This window comes from Homo sapiens, chromosome 9 (genome assembly GCF_000001405.40).
Source record: "Homo sapiens chromosome 9, GRCh38.p14 Primary Assembly".
Taxonomy (NCBI): domain Eukaryota; kingdom Metazoa; phylum Chordata; class Mammalia; order Primates; family Hominidae; genus Homo; species Homo sapiens.
In genome coordinates, this window is record NC_000009.12 from 97,653,545 (window position 1) to 97,673,870 (window position 20,326).

General features: G+C 38.2%; 2 protein-coding genes across 6 annotated transcripts in view; one reads left to right on the forward strand and one right to left on the reverse strand.

Moving 5' to 3' along the window:
* The window catches only part of NCBP1 (nuclear cap binding protein subunit 1), a 39,928-nt gene extending 19,724 nt beyond the window's left edge, over positions 1–20,204 (forward strand). For all 5 annotated transcript variants that reach the window (NM_001351504.2, NM_001351506.2, NM_002486.5 and 2 more), the window contains 13 exons: positions 254–364; positions 1,336–1,400; positions 2,158–2,220; positions 2,467–2,541; positions 5,096–5,199; positions 7,402–7,524; positions 8,498–8,600; positions 9,410–9,503; positions 10,796–10,899; positions 13,219–13,333; positions 15,302–15,430; positions 16,049–16,162; positions 17,542–20,204. In NM_001351504.2, the coding sequence (NP_001338433.1) occupies positions 254–364; positions 1,336–1,400; positions 2,158–2,220; positions 2,467–2,541; positions 5,096–5,199; positions 7,402–7,524; positions 8,498–8,600; positions 9,410–9,503; positions 10,796–10,899; positions 13,219–13,333; positions 15,302–15,430; positions 16,049–16,162; positions 17,542–17,655 (1,314 nt within the window). In that variant the 3' untranslated portion in view covers positions 17,656–20,204. The remainder of the gene's footprint in view (positions 1–253; positions 365–1,335; positions 1,401–2,157; positions 2,221–2,466; positions 2,542–5,095; positions 5,200–7,401; positions 7,525–8,497; positions 8,601–9,409; positions 9,504–10,795; positions 10,900–13,218; positions 13,334–15,301; positions 15,431–16,048; positions 16,163–17,541) is intronic.
* Positions 854–20,326, reverse strand: part of XPA (XPA, DNA damage recognition and repair factor) — a 42,943-nt gene continuing 23,470 nt past the window's right edge. Inside the window, exon 7 of the mRNA XM_006717278.2 lies at positions 854–1,180. Coding sequence (XP_006717341.1) covers positions 1,164–1,180 — 17 coding nt within the window. The 3' untranslated portion in view covers positions 854–1,163. The remainder of the gene's footprint in view (positions 1,181–20,326) is intronic.

A 20,326-nucleotide genomic window follows, 5' to 3' on the forward strand; every position in this document is an offset into this window, starting at 1 on the left:
AGGAGTGTAGATCGAATAAGCATTAGTGTCGTGTGTTTTTATTTGATCGAATTATAGAGAGAAGAAATTTTCATTACAGTTTTCAGTTTTAGATTTTTGTGTTTGAAAGAGCATAATTTTAAATATTAAAAAGTAATTCCATTTTCATATGAATGCCATGGAGTTAGAGCTCAGATTTAGAATGTTAAGGTCTTTCTAATAGAAGTGCAAAGATAGCAGTTGGATTGAATTGTGACTCATGATTCTTTTGTAGGTGATCTTTGCAGAGCTGTTTCAACTTCCAGCACCCCCTCACATTGATGTGATGTACACAACACTCCTCATTGAACTGTGCAAACTTCAACCTGGCTCTCTACCCCAAGTTGTATCCTTTTCTTTATTTTTAAACTTAATCTCTTTGGCCTGGTCTTAAAAGATTATTAAATATTTCTGCTTGTGGGTTTAAATTTTGTAGGTAAAAAATGTGGCTTTTGAAGTGTGTTGTGTGTGTGTATTACATGTATGTACTTGTATGTCTGTAAATACATATGTACCTATACATATGTAGATACATCCTTCACTATTTGGGTCAGGGAGTTCAAAAATAGACAACAATAAAATTTGTTGCCTAGATTGACTTTTCCTCTCACAATAGATTTCTCTGAAGCATGTGATGCTTGCTGTTTGATACAGCATTTTACCCACAGTAGAACTTCTTTCAGAGTTGGAATTAATCTTCCCAAACCCTGCCACTGCTTTATTAGCTAAGTTTCTATGATATTCTAAATCCTTCGTTGTCATTCAGCAGTGTTCACAAGGAGTTGATTCCATCTCAAAAAAACACTTTCTTTGCTCATACATAGAAAGCATCTTCTTATTTTTTAAAGTTTTATTATGGGATTGCAGCAATTAATAATGGAAAAGCTTGTTTTATTGTAAAAATTACCAGTATGTGACACAGAGACAAGAAGCAAGCAGATGCCATTGGAAAAATGGTGCCAGTAGACTTGCTTGTTGCAGGGTTGCCACAAACCTTCAGTTAAAAAAAAAAAAAAGAAGCAATTTCTGCTAAGCACAATGAAACAATGTATGCCTGTGCGTATGGAGGGGCATGGGGAAATTTGGGAGGTGATGAAAATATTATCTTGATTTCACGAGTGTATGCAGGTCAGATTCATTATACATCACTGATATTTCAAAGCTGTAAGAAAAAACAAAAACAAGATTGATTGTGTGAAAAGATGTTCAGCATTATTAATCATTATAAAGACTTGAAATGTTTTATTTCTATTCTTGTCTATTACAACTTATTTGGGATAAAAGTGGAGAATAGTTTTCCTTATCCTAAATTCACAGCTTGCACAGGCAACTGAAATGCTATACATGCGTTTGGACACAATGAACACTACCTGTGTAGACAGGTACAGTAATCGCTTTACTGCTGAGCTGAGTTAGCAGCTTTTACTTCCTGTACTTCATAAAGGAATTTGAGAAAGACATTTTTAAGAATTTCCATGTTTAGTTTTTTTCTTGCCTCCCAAAATAACCTTTGTATAATAACCAGACTCATACTTAATGTAACATTACGTTTTTTGATGTCCATGCTATGATTTTCTTTAATTTCATTCTCTAGTCAAGTATCAAAGACTATACTTTGGCTCTGCCATTTATAAAATGTTTTATCTGCAATTTCTTTTTTTTATTTGAGACAGGGTCTTGCTCTGTCACCCAGGCTGGAGTGCAGTGGGATGAGCATAGCTCATTGTAACCTTGAACTTATGGGCTCAAGCAATCCTCCTGCCTTAGTCTCCATCCCGAGTAGCTGGGATTACAGGCATGAGCCACTGCACCTGGCCTACAATTTCATAAAATTTTTTTTTTTCTTGCTTCAGTTTCATCATCTTTTATATGGAGAAAATAATATGTACCTTGGAAGTTGTGAGAATTAAATAATAAACATGTTAGGTGCCCGCACAAAACAGGTACTAGAATTATATCTGTCATTGACCTAAAAAGGATAAAGAGAGTTGGCAGAAGATACAACTGCATGTAGGGGAATATGCTTTTCATTAACTCTGTAAAGTCGGGTTTTATCTGTTTGAAGGCTTATATAAGTTTCTGTTCTAAATCCCAGTTATTCTTCCTTTTTCTCTGCCTACCTCCCCCTTCTCTACGTAGGTTTATTAATTGGTTTTCTCATCATCTAAGTAACTTCCAGTTCCGTTGGAGCTGGGAAGATTGGTAAGTGATGGTTTGTTTTATCTTTTTCTGTAGTCAAAAAACTACTAATGTTTAAAACTGTAACATAAAAGTGTCTGAAATATTTAATTTCTTGGAAACTATTTGTAGTTAAGTACAAATAGTTACAAGTGCAATTATAACTTAACAAAACTTGTAAGTTGTTATAAGTTAACAGATAATTATAGTACAAATGGGTGTAAGTGCAGATTATATGTAAGCATTGATAAAACTACATTTCCTCCTTAGGTCAGATTGTCTTAGTCAAGATCCTGAAAGTCCCAAACCGAAGTTTGTAAGAGAAGTTCTAGAAAAATGTATGAGGTAAGTTTTTTGTGTTTTCTCCTTTTAACTTCTTTGGGAGGATTTCTTTCTCTTCTCTGCACTTGTGATGTGTGTTCAGAATATTGGATTCAAAATCCACTTACTCATCTTCCATCCCATTTTTAATCAAGACTTAGGCTAAGAAAAATTAGGCAACCATGCCATATAGATTCCATGTGAATTTAAGCCAATAAGTTCTTTTAAAGATGTCACAGGCCGGGCGCAGTGGCTCACGCCTGTAATCCCAGCACTTTGGGAGGCCAAAGCGGGTGGATCACATGATGTGAGGAGTTCAGGCTAGCATGGCCAACATGGGGAAACCCCCTCTCTACTAAAAATAAAAATTTGCGAGGCGTGTTGGCGAACGTCTATAATCCCAGCTACTTGGGAGGTTGAGGGAGAGTCCTTTGAGCCAAGATGGCGCCACTGCACTCCAATCTGGCCGACAGAGCGACACTCTTATCTCAAAAAAATAAAATAAAAAAGGTGTTATATATGAAATGAATTCAGATTTATAGAAAAGTTGGCACAACATTACAAAGAATTCTGTATCCTCTTCACCTAGATTCCATAGCTATTAACATTTTATCATGTTTGCTCTCATGCTCACTCCCTTTTCGTCTCTCCCTAGAGACCCATTACGTTGGTTTTCCTTTGAGAATAAGCTGCATACCCAGCTGATGTAATGGCCCATTATCCTTTAATGTTCCATTACATATCTTCCCAAAACAAAACCACTCTCCTACCTAGCCAGCATACAACCTTTTAGATCAGAAAATTAGCTGTGGTACAATCCTACCACATAATTCACAGGTGCTGCTGAAATTTTGCCAGCCGTCCCAACACCTGTATTTCCTGTCTGGTCTGGAGTGTTTTTTTTGTTTTGTTTTGTTTTGTTTTTGAGTTGGAGTCTCGCTCTGTCACCCAGGCTGGAGTGCAGTGGCACGATCTCGGCTCACTGCAAGCGCCACCTCCGGGTTCACGCCATTCTCCTGCCTCAGCCTCCTGGTAGCTGGGACTACAGGCGCCCGCCACCACGCCTGGCTAATTTTTTGTAGTTTTAGTAGAGACGGGGTTTCACTGTGTTAGCTGGGATGATCTCGATCTCCTGACCTCGTGATCCGCCCGCCTCGGCCTCCCAAAGTGCTGAGATTACAGGCATGAGCCACCGTGCCCAGCCTGGTCTGAAATCTTATCCAGGTACATATATAGTGTTGAGTTGTCATTCTCTTCAGATTCCTTCAGTCTTGAACACTTAACTCTTTTTTCTATCTTTGTGTTTTTACCAGTTTGAAAGAGTCTAGACCTTACTTGGATTGCTCTGATATTTCTCATGAGCAGACTGAGGTCTTAAATTGTTAATGCTCTTGGTGTGTCACTTCTAGAGGCACATGATTCCCACCACTGGTGATGTTAATCCTGATCCACCTGGTCATGTCAATATCTGCCAGCTTTCTCTACCTTAACCTCACCATTTTTCCCTTTAGTAGAATTGATAAGTATTTTAGATATTCTGAAGTTTTACTCTTACTCTGTTCTTCATCAGATCTCCATCCTGCTTTTAGCAGCTACCACTAAGATGGTTGCCAAGTGATGATTTTCTCATTCCATTATTTTTTCTACATTTATTAGTGGGCCTTCTGTAAGAGCTGTCCTTTCTCCCCCATTTATTTATTCCTTTATTTATATATCAGTAGGGACTAATTAATTTATATTTCATTCGATGGGTTATAAACTATGAGGATTATTTATTTTGATGCCCAAATTGTCCCTGGTATGTACATGAGGAGCCCCGGTAAGCTCTCTCTCTCTCTCTCTCTCTATATATATATATATATATATTTTTTTTTTTTTTTTTAACGTCCCCAGCCATTCATTGAGCATTCCCTTATTTTCTAGAACAACATATTTAGGATCATCTTGCGTTTTCTTGCCCTATCACTGGAATCATCTATTTATTCATGGAGCCCTAGTTTCTAGTAAAGTAGTAATGGAATATGGTATTTAGGAGCCAAGATCTGGGCACTTGATATGCTCATTGCCATTGGGGTGTCATTGGTTCTAAGCCTCTTGGTGGACACACATCCATCCATCCATAACTGTTTTTATGTCCACCTGTGTGTATATATGCCTCCAATTCCAACTCAATACCTTATTTCTACACTTCTTCTCTACCATGATTTGTAAACACCTTCTCAGGCAGTAACAAACTTGGCTTCCATTATCCTCAATATTTATTTATTTGATAGAATATAGCCAGTTTCCAAAGCGTGCAGTCATCTCCACCATGCCCCATCATCACCCCACATACTTGGCCACCAGGCTCATGAGCTCACTCACCCGCACCTCAGTGCAAGCCAGTGAGTTTTGCAGTATGCCTGAGATTTGGTGTGCTGGCTTAGACAAAAACTCAAAGGATTTTTTTTTCCCTTTCACTTCTTGGTTGTCAGCTGAGTTCAAGTTGTTGGAGATCATGACTTTCCAGGTAAGTCGGGTGTTACCGAAGAATGGGACTGATAAAAGATATTTTCTGAGGCTGTTATTTGTATTGTAGGTTGTCTTACCATCAGCGTATATTAGATATTGTTCCTCCTACCTTCTCAGCTCTGTGTCCTGCAAACCCAACCTGCATTTACAAGTATGGAGATGAAAGTAGCAGTAAGTAATGAAACTAATCCCTCTGTCTTTAAAAGGTACCAGTTCAAGTATATCTGAAGTTAGTTGTTTAAAGTGGAGAAATTGAACTTTTTCTTTTCTTGGGGTTTATATTTCCTGTATTTGAAAGGTGGTCTATCATTAGCCACTGTTTTATTTGCCCTGTCATCATTTTGAGGATTTGGTTGTGATAAAATTAATTACTACTGGCTTATCATTTTTTCTCTTTTGAATGTGTTAAGTATAGCAAGATGAATTTATAGTTAGAACTTACTAAACTGAAAACGTGTATTTGTCATGGTGATGGAGGTTACTTGAATTCATTATCTTGTTCAGGTGTGGTATTGAGAACATAGATGCACATATTTGTGGCAGTATGCCTTTAAAAGTAAATTCTTAATTATGATTTTCTTACCTTTTGGTCACATAATCTCTGAAATTGCACCATAAATCAGGGAGTGTAATTTGATGTGCCATTTTGCCCTTTGCATAGTATTTACACTTAATGAAGGTAAAGTATTATACATTGTTGATCACTGGTAGAGTTAGGTGTGGAGTTTTTCCAACTTGTTCTTTGCAGATTACACTTAACACAGCCCCTCCATGATCCTTCCATTTTGTGTTGTGTAGAGGTTCTTTGTATCTCACAACTTTCTGCTGTTCTTTGCTTTTCATACTGTGTGCCTGTTTCTCCACCTCTGTCTCTGACTGTACCTGTTTTCCTTGAAATGAACTGTGTCGGTCCTGGTACATTTCCTATTTCATTATGTCAACTCTGAAGAATAGATATGATTATCAAAACTACAATGAGGAAATGACTTCCAAGAGGTCAAGCTAGAATGAGATTGCTTTTGAGTGGTGGAGCCCAAATTCAGGCGTAGGTGCACTAACTGAGTGGCCATGCTGTTAGCCACTGTGCTTTTTGGCAGATCAAAGGTTTATGCAGTACTTAGAAGTGCTGGGTTTTGAGTTTTGTCCTGTACTGGTTCCGAGAATGATAAGGTGTAGTCTTTGCTATCAGAAAGCTCAGGCTTTTGTTGAAGATTAAGCTTTCTTTTTGCCCCATAGGAATAACTCCGCCTAACATTCAAGGCCTTCATAACCATTGTTCCTACTTTGTTATTTTTCACTTCTCCCCACATGGACCTCTATTTCTGCCAGGTCCATGTACTTTTTTATTTTTTCCATACTCCCTGTTCTTGACTTTGCCATTACCCCAGTCTGGAAAGCCCTTTCTAGCTCCACTTCCTTTTCTCCTTCTAGATTCTAGCCCAAGCTCAATAGCTGTAAATATTTTTTAACCGTTAGCAAGCCAGTTTTGTATTGCTTCCTGGCTGTGTCTAATGTGAATATCTTGGTTCCCCAGCTAGAATGTAGACTGGTGACAGGGGATTCTGTTTTTCTTCGCCTTCTTTTTTTTAGAGAAAAAGCTCACAGCAGGTGTAATATGACTGTCCTCACATGACTGTTGTAATTTACTTTATTCATTCCAGTAACTCATACTCTATAACAGGATTGCCTTTTTTGTTACCTCTTTGTCTACCTTACATTAAAAGCAGATTTCTTGTTGCTCTGGTGATGCCTTACGGTGTATATTAGCACAAATTTTTATAATAAGGACTCAACTGATACCAACCAATAGTAAATACAAGGAGTCCCATCACGTGAGCATCTGACTTACGTAGATTCAAGCTTGTGGACTCAGCAAAAAAGAAAAGTACAAAAACAAAACCTCTCTGAAGTTGGCAGCCATTACCTTGTTGAGACTCAGACTTCATTTCCACGGTCCCGAGGAAAGAAAGAGGAAGTGGGTGTTGGCAAAATGAAAGAGAAGTACGTTGGTTCTGGGATTTTGAGCCCAGGAGAGTTGAGGGCATTAAAAGACAGTTTAACTGTGTCCACTTTTCTCCTTACCATTCATCTTGAGGATGATCAGCACCTTGTGCTCTAAATTTTACTTAGCTAAGTGTCCTTAATGAATTGTTGAAATGAGAATTGTCCCTTTTTAGGTGAAAAACCATTAACCTATTAGAAAAAGCTTTCACATACGGTATTTATATGTGATTAAATATTGACCTTGGGATAAAGAGCATCCTATTTTGAAAGGAAGAATTTAAAAAAAATTTTTCTCAGTTATTTAACTGTTCATTAGAATAGTCTTGAAACCTGATCTGTCATTCCCCTTACCCCCAATTCTGTGTTTAGATTCTCTTCCTGGACATTCTGTTGCCCTCTGTTTAGCTGTTGCCTTTAAAAGTAAGGCAACCAATGATGAAATCTTCAGCATTCTGAAAGATGTACCAAATCCTAACCAGGATGATGACGACGGTAAGTGGAATTCAGTATTTCTTAAGTGGAACTATGTATAGGCCAACTTAAAGCATAAACATAACTCTGGCAACATGATGCTCTTAAAGCAATATATCTATATCTGTTTGACCTGTTCAGACTGTTGTTCTTAGCACCCCAGGTATTTTCCCCTTATATAAAAAGAGATCCTAACATTTCTGTGATATAGCTTACTTAAGAATATAAACTTCATCGTAAATACAAAGTGAAATATGTTACCATTCAAGGATTTTTAACCCCTGCTTTCACCATAGAGAAGTTCCTGAATAGAAAGACTTGGTGTGTTATAAAGTTGGATGTTTTCTCCAAGTTAAGCTATTAGAATAATAATGTTTAACATTTACTCAGTTATATACCATGTAATTCCAACCAGAATCCTAGGAGTTTTTCTGGGCAAGAGTGGGAAAATTGACAAAATAATTTATACAGTTGCCTGAATCAATAAATGGATATGCACATAGAAAAACTACTGAATCAAAATAAGATATTAGTGGCCTTTGGGTATTTATTACTGGGATTTTGTTTGGATATCTCTAAGAAATTTGTATTATGATATTAGAGAAAATGAGTTTAGAAAGAATAAGCCAAAATGATGGCATTAAATTCAGATGTTGTCAGACATCTTAAGACATAAGCTTAAGTGTTTTTTTTTTTTTTTTTTGGTATTAATATAATAGAGGCTATGAATAAGGAAACCTGTGTGATTTTTTTTTTTCAAGGAATGGATGATAGAATTAAGACAGTCACATAAAACTAAGACTTAAAATTACAAGTGGTTTCATATTTTCAGTGTTTGAAATCAGTGACGGTCTTTTATTGTTTATTAGAACCAAAAAACATTACACAAATATCTGTGTATAGATGTGAGCAACCATCTATTTAGCATTTGAGGTAAGGCACCAAGGAATTGCTGTGCTTACATTTTTCTGTTTTACTATAAAATATTTTTCAGATGAAGGATTCAGTTTTAACCCATTGAAAATAGAAGTCTTTGTACAGACTCTGCTACACTTGGCAGCCAAATCATTCAGCCACTCCTTCAGTGCTCTTGCAAAGTATGTATGAGTACAGAGCCTTGCTTGAGAGTTTGGAATTTTGCTTGGTGAACACCAGTGGTATGGTAATTTTTACCTAAGATTGTTGAATATGAAGATCTTAATAGTGTATAATTGGACACAGTGGGTTTGGGTTTGTGGTAGCTGAAATCCATATCCTAAGGCTTCCGTCAGTCTGTTTGTACAGTTGGCATATGTACATGGTAAGTGCTTTTTTTCATATAGACATTTAAAGAAACTAGTGAAAAACCTAGGTTTTTGGGACAGTCATATGCAGTTGGAAGTTCCCACGCTAAATATCTTTCCAAAGCAATGTAAGAAGAAATTAGAATCAGCTACACTGTTGGGAGTCACGCAAAGGTTGGCATCTGAAGACAGGTATTTTTAACTTGTCAGACAGGGTCCAAAGGAAGAAAGAGCACATAGATTTTCCTTCTGCCAAGCAGAGAAACTGGACATCTCACCCCATCTCTGTCTCCAAGGCTTTATATTACTTGCAGGGTTCCCACAGAAGATGCAGTTTGAATATTTCACCATGTTTGAAGACAGTTCCTTAGTCCTTACCTATTCTTTTAAACTGTAGCCCTGGGCTAACGGTAGTATATTGTAAATGTCTTGAGATTTTGTGACAGCTTCCTTAAAAACTATCAATCTGTGATCACACTTTTTGCATCCTTAATGGTTAATACTTAGTTATTTTGCATTTATATATTGCATTATAAATTGAGTAACATTGAAAAGGCTTTGAAAACACTAAAATGTTTAATGAATAAGTATATATGGTATTTTTTTCCCATCATTATCAAAAGGTTTCATGAAGTCTTCAAAACCCTAGCTGAAAGTGATGAAGGAAAGTTACATGTGCTAAGAGTTATGTTTGAGGTCTGGAGGAACCATCCACAGGTAAAAATTATTTAATTAGACATGTTGAAGCTCTGATTGTATGGGTATAAAAATAAGGCCGTTAATTGCCATTGTTTTGTTTGTAAAACATGAAATTTGACTCTGCCTAGATAATGGTTTTTAGATCTAATTCTTTCAGTGCTATGGGAGTAATGATGTTTCATTCATTCTTGAAAGAGTAAGCATTATTATGATTTGGTTTTGAACTATAATATCTCAATATGTTTTAAATGTTCAGGAAAAGGTTTATCTAGTCTATCCAGTTTCTAAATGCAAGCTCCAGATTTCTCAAACCTTGATATATATTGTGTATGACAAAGAAACATTTAAATAAATTTCATAAAACAGTGAGTGTGTAATGATAAAACATTGTTTTACATTTAACTTCTGGGGTTCATTGAAATTATGTATTTTTTTGAATACGTATTAGTACCTGAAATTTAAATTTTTTTTTGGAGACAGAGTCTCACTCTGTCACCCAGGCTGGAGTGCAGTGGCGCAATCTTGGCTCACTGCAACCTCCGCCTCCCGGGTTCAAGTGATTCCCCTGCCTCAGCCTCCCGAGTAGCTGGGATTACAGGCGTCCACCACCACACCTGGCTGATTTTTGTATTTTTAGTAGAGATGGGGTTTCACCATGTTGGCCAGGCTGGTCTGGAACTCCTGACCTCAGGTGATCTGCCCACCTCGGCCTCCCAAAGTGTGCTAGATTACAGGTGTGAGCCACCGCGCCTGGCCAGTTTTTTCAAATTTTAACTGTTACCATTCAGAGTTTTTGTTTAGTCAACCTGTTTCTTGTAGTGCTAGAGCAAAGCAAAGGGGAGAATAAATCTTAAGACCTAATGATCAGGCCAGGCGTGGTGGCTCTTACCTGTAATCCTAGCACTTTGGGAGGCCGAGATGGATGGATCACTTGAAGCCAGGAGTTCGAGACCAGCCTAGGCAATACAGTGAAACCCCGTCTATACTAAAATTACAAAAATTAGCCAGGCATGGTGGTGCACACCTGTAATCTGAGCTGCTCAGGAGGTTGAGGCAGGAGAATTGCTTGAACCTAGGAGGTGGAGGTTGCAGTGAGCTGAGATCGTGCCACTCCACTCCCGCCTAGGTGACAGAGCAACTCTGTCTCCCAAAAAAAAGACCTAATGGTCAGATTGATCAATCAATTCCATAGCCACCAAAACTAAATTTTATAGCCCTCCTATTTTACTTTTATAGCAGCAGTGTGGTGGCACATATATATGTGTGTGTATGTGTGTGTGTGATTTACTTGAATAATTCTCTCATTGTAGATGATTGCTGTACTAGTGGATAAGATGATTCGTACACAAATAGTTGATTGTGCTGCCGTAGCAAATTGGATCTTCTCTTCAGAACTATCTCGTGACTTTACCAGGTAATATAAATTATTTTATGAAACTTGTGTTCCCTAAGAATTGATATATGTGTGGTCTCTTATACATAAGCTTCAAATTCTGGTCCAAACCAGGTTGATATTAATATACTAATGGTCCAATCTGGTAGGATTGGACATGGCAAAAATTCCTAGACAGTGGAAACATACACAGCCTATCAGGTTGCAGCGTCTCTTAGCAGGGACACTCTTAAGTTGAATCAAGGCTAAGCCAGTGAAGTAGAAATCCTGTTGAAGGATCCAGACTGTTGGGAGAGAAAACTAGCAAGAGCCAGCTATGTGCAGAGTCTCAGCTAGTCCAGATGGAACTCGGGAAGGGTTCCAGCTTCAGTGGGGATGGCACCTAGAATGCACACCAGGAAGTAGGAGAAATCAAAGTCAAAGTAGAGTAAATCATGGAGGGATCCAGGAAAGCTTGGTGATTAACAAGACACCTGAGGGATGGGGGAAAGGGGTTCTCACCACAGTCATAATCTTAGGTTTAATGCAGAAGATTCATTCTGCCCTCATTCCCCCTAACGGAAAGAAAGTTTTTGCTGTTTGGTTCTTATTTATGAAGTTCACGGACTTTACAGCTGATAGGACCAGGGCAGCAGGAGTTGACACAAAGCAGGAAACTAAAGCAAATTACTTGTAAAAACATAAAAGTCCATCACAACCTTTAACTTTTCCACTGTATCTGTTACTGCCAGAGGACACTGATCAGAAATATACTGAATTGTTAGGGTGATAGGGTGTGATCTAAGGTTGTCATACCGGCCAGGTTGGCCTTCATAAACAAAGACAACAGAAGAACCTTTTCAGATTTGTAAACTCTCAGAAAACTAACCACCCGAGTATGTTTTAACCATTGTCCTGAGTGATTTACGTTTTCAATTCATTTTATCCTTACCGCATCACCGTAGAGAAGGTTCCATTATTGTCCACATTTTACAGAATAGGGAAGTGTCACAGAGTGCTTTATCCTGCCCAAAGTCACACAACTAAGTGCAGAGCCAGCATTCAAACCCAGGCATTCTGGAATCTGTATAGTGCTCAACAGCTCCATCTGTTCTTTAACACCTAGCTCAAATATTTGTAACTCTGCAAACCTTTCCCTGACTATAGTCCACCCCCTCCAGAGTTAAAGTGCTCTGCTCTTTTGTCCTGTTTCCTAACATTCTAGACTTGGAGTTTTATGAACAGATTGTTTTATTATCTTCCACTTAAACTATTATTTGGGTCAAAATTTGTAGAAGGAAGTACAGTTCACCCTTGAACAACAACAGGGGTTAGAGACACCGACTTCGCCCCACCCACCCCACCCCACACAGTCAAAAATCTGCATAGAACTTTTAACTGCATGGAAAATTTAACTAGTAGCCTACTGTTGACCAGAAGCCTTAGTGATAACGTAGTCAATTAACACATATTTGTGTTGTATGTGTTATATCCTGTATTCTTACAATAAATCATAAGAGAGGAAACATTCATGAAGTGAGAGTGGATCATCATAAAGGTCATCTTCATTATCTTCACATTGAGTAGGCTGAGGAAGAGGAGGGGTTGGTCTTATTGACTCAGGTGGAAGAAAACCCATGTGTAAATGGACCTGCACAGTTCAAACCTGTATTGTTCAAGGGCCAACTGTACTATTCTGTGCTGGGTTAGGAGACCTAGTTTATAGACACAAAAGTAGCTGAGAAGTTACTTTTTAAAAGAAAAACACTTATGCAACAAACATTTCAAAGCACCTACAAAGTGATCTTAGTATGTATTTGCTAGTAAGAAAGCTGACATATAATTATCTCATTCTTAGAGCCCATCAGTTGATACCTATTATCAACTAATGAGTTTCTTAAACATTCCAAGAGAATAATTGGCTGAGTGTGTGCTAGTTAAATAATATAAAGCATGGGAAATAAGTCTCAGGTTAGGTCACCATTTTGAGAAAATTTCTACACATAATGTTTACATTTAGGAGAGGAAAAATGTATTTCCATTTTTAATGTTAATGTCCATCATAGTTTGCCATTTCAATTCAGTAAGTATGTACCTCTGGTAAGGGATGGAAATAAGAAAAATGACTACACAGTGCTGCCCTCAGGGGGCTCGCCTGAATCTAATGGGTGTGAAGATAGATACTTGCACAATTTACAATAAAAGACCAATTTGTAAGTATTGCTGGAGAAAGATGACTAATTCAGCCCCAAGGACAGAAGGCTGTATCAGCTGTTAAGAATGAAATTACAAAAGTTGAAAGATTTTATTTTCTGTAACCATAGCTTGACATACAGTAACCAAATGCCATATTTCTTTAAGATTGTTTGTTTGGGAAATTTTGCACTCTACAATTCGTAAGATGAACAAACATGTCCTGAAGATCCAGAAAGAGCTGGAAGAAGCTAAAGAGAAACTTGCTAGGCAACACAAACGGGTAAGTTTTGTGTAAACTTGTAAGTAGTTAAAGAAAATATACCAGAAACTCTGGAGAGGATTCAGAGTTCATTATCTTGATGATATTTCATTTTTTCTGAGCCCAAATTAATGCAGAGCAGAAATTTTTCTGAGCCCAATTTAATGCAGAAGCAGAAGAGGAGGAAGGAGCAGGTAGTGTGTTGTGTGCTGTTACACTGCATGATGAACCAGTTCAGGAAGCCACAAACTTCACTTCCCATAGTTCACTATCTCTGGGTCGGCCTCACGTTTGCACAAGGGAAGTAGCAGAAGGGAAGAGGACACTTGTATTTCTGTAGGAGTCTCTGGGGGAAGAGGGAGAGGACTATAGATACTTAACACTTTCCCCGTACTGTGAGGAGGAATGGGGCAGTCATTCCCAAGTTAACGGAATACTTCTCATAGTATTAATTTAGTATTTTAGCCATTTTGGAGGGAAGCAGTGAGTGACTTAACATGATACTACTATTCATTATGAAAGTATTTTCCAGTGTTATGCATATTTACCATAGTAGAAGGTGAAAAAAAGTTGAGTTTAGTGCCCTATAGGAACCTTTCGCAAGTTTGAGTACCAGTCTCCATGTAGACATACCTGTATACATATATGGATATAAACACTCAGACCTGAAATACTGTAAGGTAAATGGTGTCATCTCATTTTGTAGATGTTATAAAGTGAGACATAGAGAAGTTAAGTAACATAGCTAGTAGGTTGCATAGCTGGTAAATGACCAGAGCTAGGTTCTGACACAGGTCTGTCAGACTCCAGAGACTTTTCTCTCATGCCACACTGTTTCTAGAAGTGTGCTGTCCAACACAGTAGCCACTAGCTGCACGTGACTATTTTAGTTAAATACAATTTAACATTCAGTTCTTTGGTCACACAACCATATTTCAGGTGCTCAGTAGTAACGTGTGGTTGCGGTCGTAACAGGCTGCACATATTTATATAACATTGGCCCCATTGAAGAAAGGTCTATCTATTAGGTAGTAGTGCTCTAGAACCTTACCTTTGAGTGGTGTTAGGAAAGGACAGTCGTGTACCCACGTGTCTAGAACATAGAGCAGACCTCATAAATGGGCTGTGTTTATAGAGAGAAAAGCAAGATTCTGTGATATCCGAGAGCAGGGTTCTGATAATTTTGCTTAAAGTGGAGAGATCAGTAGATGGGGCCTTAGCAGTTAAGTATTAACCTCGAAGAATTACCAGGCTTTCTAGATTCAGTGATGCCACCTTCTTGCTGAAAGTACCTTGGTATGTAACACCTTAGAGCCACGTTCTGGCTCTGCCACTTTCTGACTGGGTGATGCTGGGAAAGTCATCTAACCTCTCAGCCTTTTTTCTCTGTAAAATGGAAATAAACCATGCCTTGTTTTTCTTTTCCTTTAAAAAGAAAAAATTAAATTCTATAAACTCTTCAGAGTGAGCTGGGGGCAGGGATTATTAAAGCTTTACAGGAGTATATTGAGCCCATCATTGCCAGCAGAAAGTCTTAAACAGCCCACTTTGAATTATTATATGTCGGCTGGAGCCATTTCTAAATTATAACAAGAATGAGCAGCCTTGGCCCATAGGACTTGCCCAGTTTTTCTGTATGGCCCATTAGCAGATGAATGATTAGCAAGCTGTCTCCCTGTTGTTACTGCTCAAATGGTCAAATAGTGATAAATTGTAGCCAAGTCCCCCCATGTTGTTACCAAGACAAGTGCCACTAAATTTCCCTGGCCTAGATAAGAACCCATGGAATTTCTGAATGAGAAGACAGTGTCTCTGAACCACAACAGGACTTTGAGGTATATATGTGTGGGTGGCGGGGTGGGGGGGTACTTTCACTATAGAATATAAGTCTTAACATTTGGCCAGACACAGTAAAATGCTTCCCCTGGAGGAGATTTAACACACTGGAATCTAAATGGTATTTTCCTTTTGTTCATTTGCCTTCTATAGCGAAGTGATGATGACGACAGAAGCAGTGACAGGAAAGACGGGGTTCTTGAGGAACAAATAGAACGACTTCAGGAAAAAGTGGAATCTGCTCAGAGTGAACAAAAGAATCTTTTCCTCGTTATATTTCAGGTATCTTGGCTTGGGACATTTATACATAAAAGGAAACAATACATTTCTTTAGTTTTAGTTTTTAAAAATGTTATTTTTCATTGTAAAAGGAATACACATTCATTTATAGAAGAGATTAAAAATACAAAAATTTAGGAAGGAAATAAAAGTTCACTACTCAGAGGCAACCATGTATGTCTGAGTTTCTCTGCTGTTTACTTAGTATTCTCGCATGAGCATTTCTCCATGCTTGAAAAAAAATTGTGGGTTGCTTTTTTTATATATGTCTCGTTTAATTATTCCTCATTGCTGATCATTTTCCTTCCATGAACATTTTAATGCATAGATTCCTGTTAAAATTTCTGATTACTTCGTTAGAATAGATTCCAGGAAGTAATATTACTAGGATAAGTAATTTAAGACATTAAAGGTCTTTATGTATTGCCAGGAAGAATGTACCAACTCATGTTATTACCAGTCTGCCCTTCTAGGTTGACTTCATGAATAATGGAAGCTAGGCACACACACCACAAAGACAGGGTGGAACAGGCAATACTTTGGGGTTTCTTTGTCATGAATTTTTTTCCAAAGTATAAGATTCTGTCTGTAGTACTACCTTAACTTCTTCTCCCTTTCCAGCGGTTTATCATGATCTTGACCGAGCACCTAGTACGATGCGAAACTGATGGGACCAGTGTATTAACACCATGGTATAAGAACTGTATAGAGAGGCTGCAGCAGATCTTCCTACAGGTATGTGGGGAACTTCGATTAGGTAATAACACTATTCTCAGCCACAAAGATTTTTCATTAAAAAAAATCCTTGTCAAATTTGTTAGGAGGTTATATAGTACCTGTTAGACCCTTTAGTTCATGTCCATTTGCTGCTACCATTGCTCATCAGAATATTTAGGCTTAAACTGATTCTGTACCACTTAGATTCCTAATTGCCACCCCCCCAACAACCCCCCGCCCCACCTTTTTTTTGAGATGGCATCTCACTCTGTTGCCCAGGCTGGAGTTCAGTGACACGATCTCAGCTCACTGCAACCTCCACCTCCTAGGTTTAAGCAATTCTTCTGCCTCAGCCTCCCATATTGCTGGGATTACAGGCACCCGTCACTACTCCTGCCTGATTTTTGTATTTTTAGTAGGGACAGAGTTTCACCATGTTGGCCAGGCTAGTCTCAAACTCCTGACCTCAGGAGGCCTCCGCCTCCCAAAGTGCTGCTGGGATTATAGGCGTGAGCCACGGTGCCCAGTCTCCTAATTGTCATTTTCTATGCTGGGGATCCTAGCTGTAATATAAAATGTAGAGGACAAAAATATCAAGAGGACAGTAATTGGATTTATAAGTCCCTAAAAAGCCAGTGTTATCCAATGTGCAGGTGGTAAACTGTCCACAGAATCAAGGTAAGCTCCCTGGGGTCTCTCTGCAAAAGCAAAATGCCGGCACCTATTCTCACCTAGATTTAAGTTAAAGGTATATAGGAGAGTGGAGCTAATTCATTGTATCTTCGGACACTACTCCCCTAAATCTTCATTTGTTCATTCTAGAAGAATGATTAATGTAGAAGTCACTCTAAGTTCAATTCTTTGAGCCTCCAAATAGGAATTCCCTCTGATTTTATAGTTACTGCCAGTTTTAAAAGCTTTAACAGTCTCTAGTCCTATAAGAATCTCTGAGAGTATTCATGGCTTATAGAGGAACACATAGACAAGAGTATTTCGTTTTCTGACTGTTTATCTTCCTGTCAGTCCGTCTGGCTGCTTTTTAAAAAGTTACAATGTATTATGCCCTGACTGGGGAGAGAGCTAGCTGAGCCTAGTCCGTAATAGTACTAGGAGCAAGCAGGCACTGCTGCCACTGCCTTGAATCATGAATTCTGTTTACATAGAAGTTGGTAAGAACTGGATTTTTTAAAAAGCTATTGAGCATCCATTTTTTTCATTTCCCTTTTTATTTTTTTAATGTTGGGGATTTTCAGGGGTCCATTGTTCCTATCAGCACTTTTTTTTCCCCTTCCTCTTTTCATCATTCTGCAGCATGGGTGGGCTGCTGAAGGAAATGTTCCACAAGATTGCTTATATGCTTTTTCCTGACCTAACTACCCCCTTTTGTGTGTCCACAGCATCACCAAATAATCCAGCAGTACATGGTGACCCTGGAGAACCTTCTCTTCACTGCTGAATTAGACCCTCATATCTTGGCCGTGTTCCAGCAGTTCTGTGCCCTGCAGGCCTAAGGGTCATTTTTTCCTCATGTCAAGGTTTTTTTTGATATCTTAAAATAATTTGTCTTATTTTTTGATGGTTTGAATGCTTGCTTTCTTGTAGTATCCTTTCACTTCTTAAAGGAAACAAAGGGGAAGAGGACAGTGAATGAACATGGCATTACTTTTAATTGCCCTGAAAAGCAAATACTTCCTAACGGCAGTAATGTGACTATGACCATGATATATTATATATGTGACAGATACAAATTCTCTGTGATCAGTTTGTTATTTTTTTTCTCCTTAAGGCACAAAATAATTGGTTTGAGGTATGTGAAACACTAGAGGTCAACCTTACATAGTATATAGAACTGATGGGTTTACCCAGCTACCCAGTAGCATAACTTTTCACAGCTCGGGGATGAATTAACATGGCTGAAATAAAACTAAAAGTATGGTTTTTAAACTTTGGCATTTCATGATTTATCATCTCACTCTACTCTAAAACTGGTGGTTTCTTACTGAAGGTGTTCTCCATTTGAAATTTTATCTTCAAAGTATTTTTAAGTAGTATCTTTAAGACATGACTTGTTAGTAATAAAAGTGTTACTAGTTGGAAGAGTAGCTCTCAAATTTGTCTTAATGTAAATCACCTGGGAATCTTTCAAGTTATTTTGAAATTTAAACCACCGTCTGGGGGTGGAACGCAGACATCCTCAGTAATCCTTAAAGTTTCCCCAGGTGATTCCAGGTTTGGTCACCATTATCTTAGAGCATCTACTCACTTCCTCTAGCCTTGGGGTTATTTGTCCAAGGTCTTGTAGTGAGTTACAGAATACTAAAGTGGATGTAGAAGTGGTCAGATTGACTGAAACTATACCCTGAATTAGATGTGAGTTTAGATTTTGTTTATATGGAACCTGATCCAAAAAACTACGAAGTCCTGAGCTTGTTTCCTGTATAGTACTGATGCTGAAATAAGATGACAGCAGTTTGTAAAATAATACACAAATATGAGGAATTGTCTGACATTCCAAATTTCGAGGATTTTTAGACTTTTTTCATTAAACCTTAGAAAAAAATTACCAGTAATCCTACAACTACTGGTAGTGTTGTTGTGCATTTGCACAAAATAGGTATAATTTTTTCTTATTACATCCCAAGTTTATGATGCATTAAGCGTTTTGCATATTTTGATATATTTTTGCTTTGGTTTACCATACATTTTAGTGGCTACAGAATGTAGTCTGCTTAATAAATGGGAATTCCTAGAATGTTTAAATACCATACTATTTAAGACAAAATACAAAATATCCAGAAAAATCCAGGTTGCGTGGCTGGTTAGTAAAGGACTAAAACCCAGGTTCTTGGCTAAATGTTTTCGTTTATACTGTTTATCTTTCCCATTGCTTAAGCACAGCACAAACTATGTAATTATATATAATTACAGTTGACCCTTGAACAACATGGGTTTGAACTGTGTGAGTCTCCTTACACACAGGTTTTCTTCCACCCCTGAGATGGCAAGACCAGCCCCTTGTCTTCCTCAGCCTGCTCAACGTGAAGATGATGAGGATGAAGACCTTTATGATGATCCACTTCTACTTATTAAATAGTAAATATATTTTTTTCTTATGATTTTATTTTCTTTTCTCTAGCTTCATAAGAATATAGCATATGGGCTGGGCGCAGTGGCTCACGCCTGTAATCCCAGCACTTTGGGAGGCTGAGGCGGGCGGATCACAAGGTCAGGAGATTGAGACCATCCTGGCTAACACAGTGAAACCCTGTCTCTACTAAAAACACAAAAACTTAGCCAGGCGTGGTGGTACATGGCTGTAGTCCCAGCTACTTGGGAGGCTGAGACAGGAGAATCGCTTGAACCTGGGAGGTGGAGGTTTCAGTGAGCCAAGATTGTGCCACTGCACTCCAGCCTGGGTGATGGAGCGAGGCTCTGTCTCAAAAAAGAAAAAAAATATATAGCATATAACATACAAAATGAGTTTATCAACTGTTTGTTATTGGTAAGTCAGCAGTGGGCTATTGGTGGTTAAGTTTTGGGGGAGTCAAAAGTTACATGCAAATTTTTTACTGTGCGGGGTGTCAGCATCCCTAACCCCATGTTGTTCAAGGGTCAACTGTAGTTTAAAATGACTCCTGTCTCAAAAAACCAAAGGATAACCTTTAAGGGATTGGTAACTTTGACTCAAAACTGCTTTGTAATCTTTTCACAATGTACTGAAAAGTGTGGCTAGTTATGTTTGATCCACATTCTAGAGAAATTTGTAGGTTTTAATTTCTTTTCTCTTGGTCCTCTCTTCATGTATAATGGTTGCTTTTAACAGCTGTTCGCTGATGTGGTCCTGCTCTGTCCCAGTCTAGCAGCTTTAGTGTATGGAAAAATTGAACTAGGAATTGAGTTTTGAAGAAATAAAGGTGTAAGAGCAAACATTCAACAGTTGCTGTCCCCAGTAATGAAGTTCATACAGACAAAAGATGGCATGTCACTGTACATCATACCTTGCAATAAATATTCTGTTAAATTGTGCTGGTGCAATTTAACATGCTTTTGTCAAAGTAAACATACTGTTTTCCTAATTTATAACTGTACTTGAAAATGAAAGATGAGGAAGGGACCTTGCCAACCTATGTAGAGCAGGTTTAGCTGTTAGTGATTTCTGGATACCAGGATTGTCTTAAACTG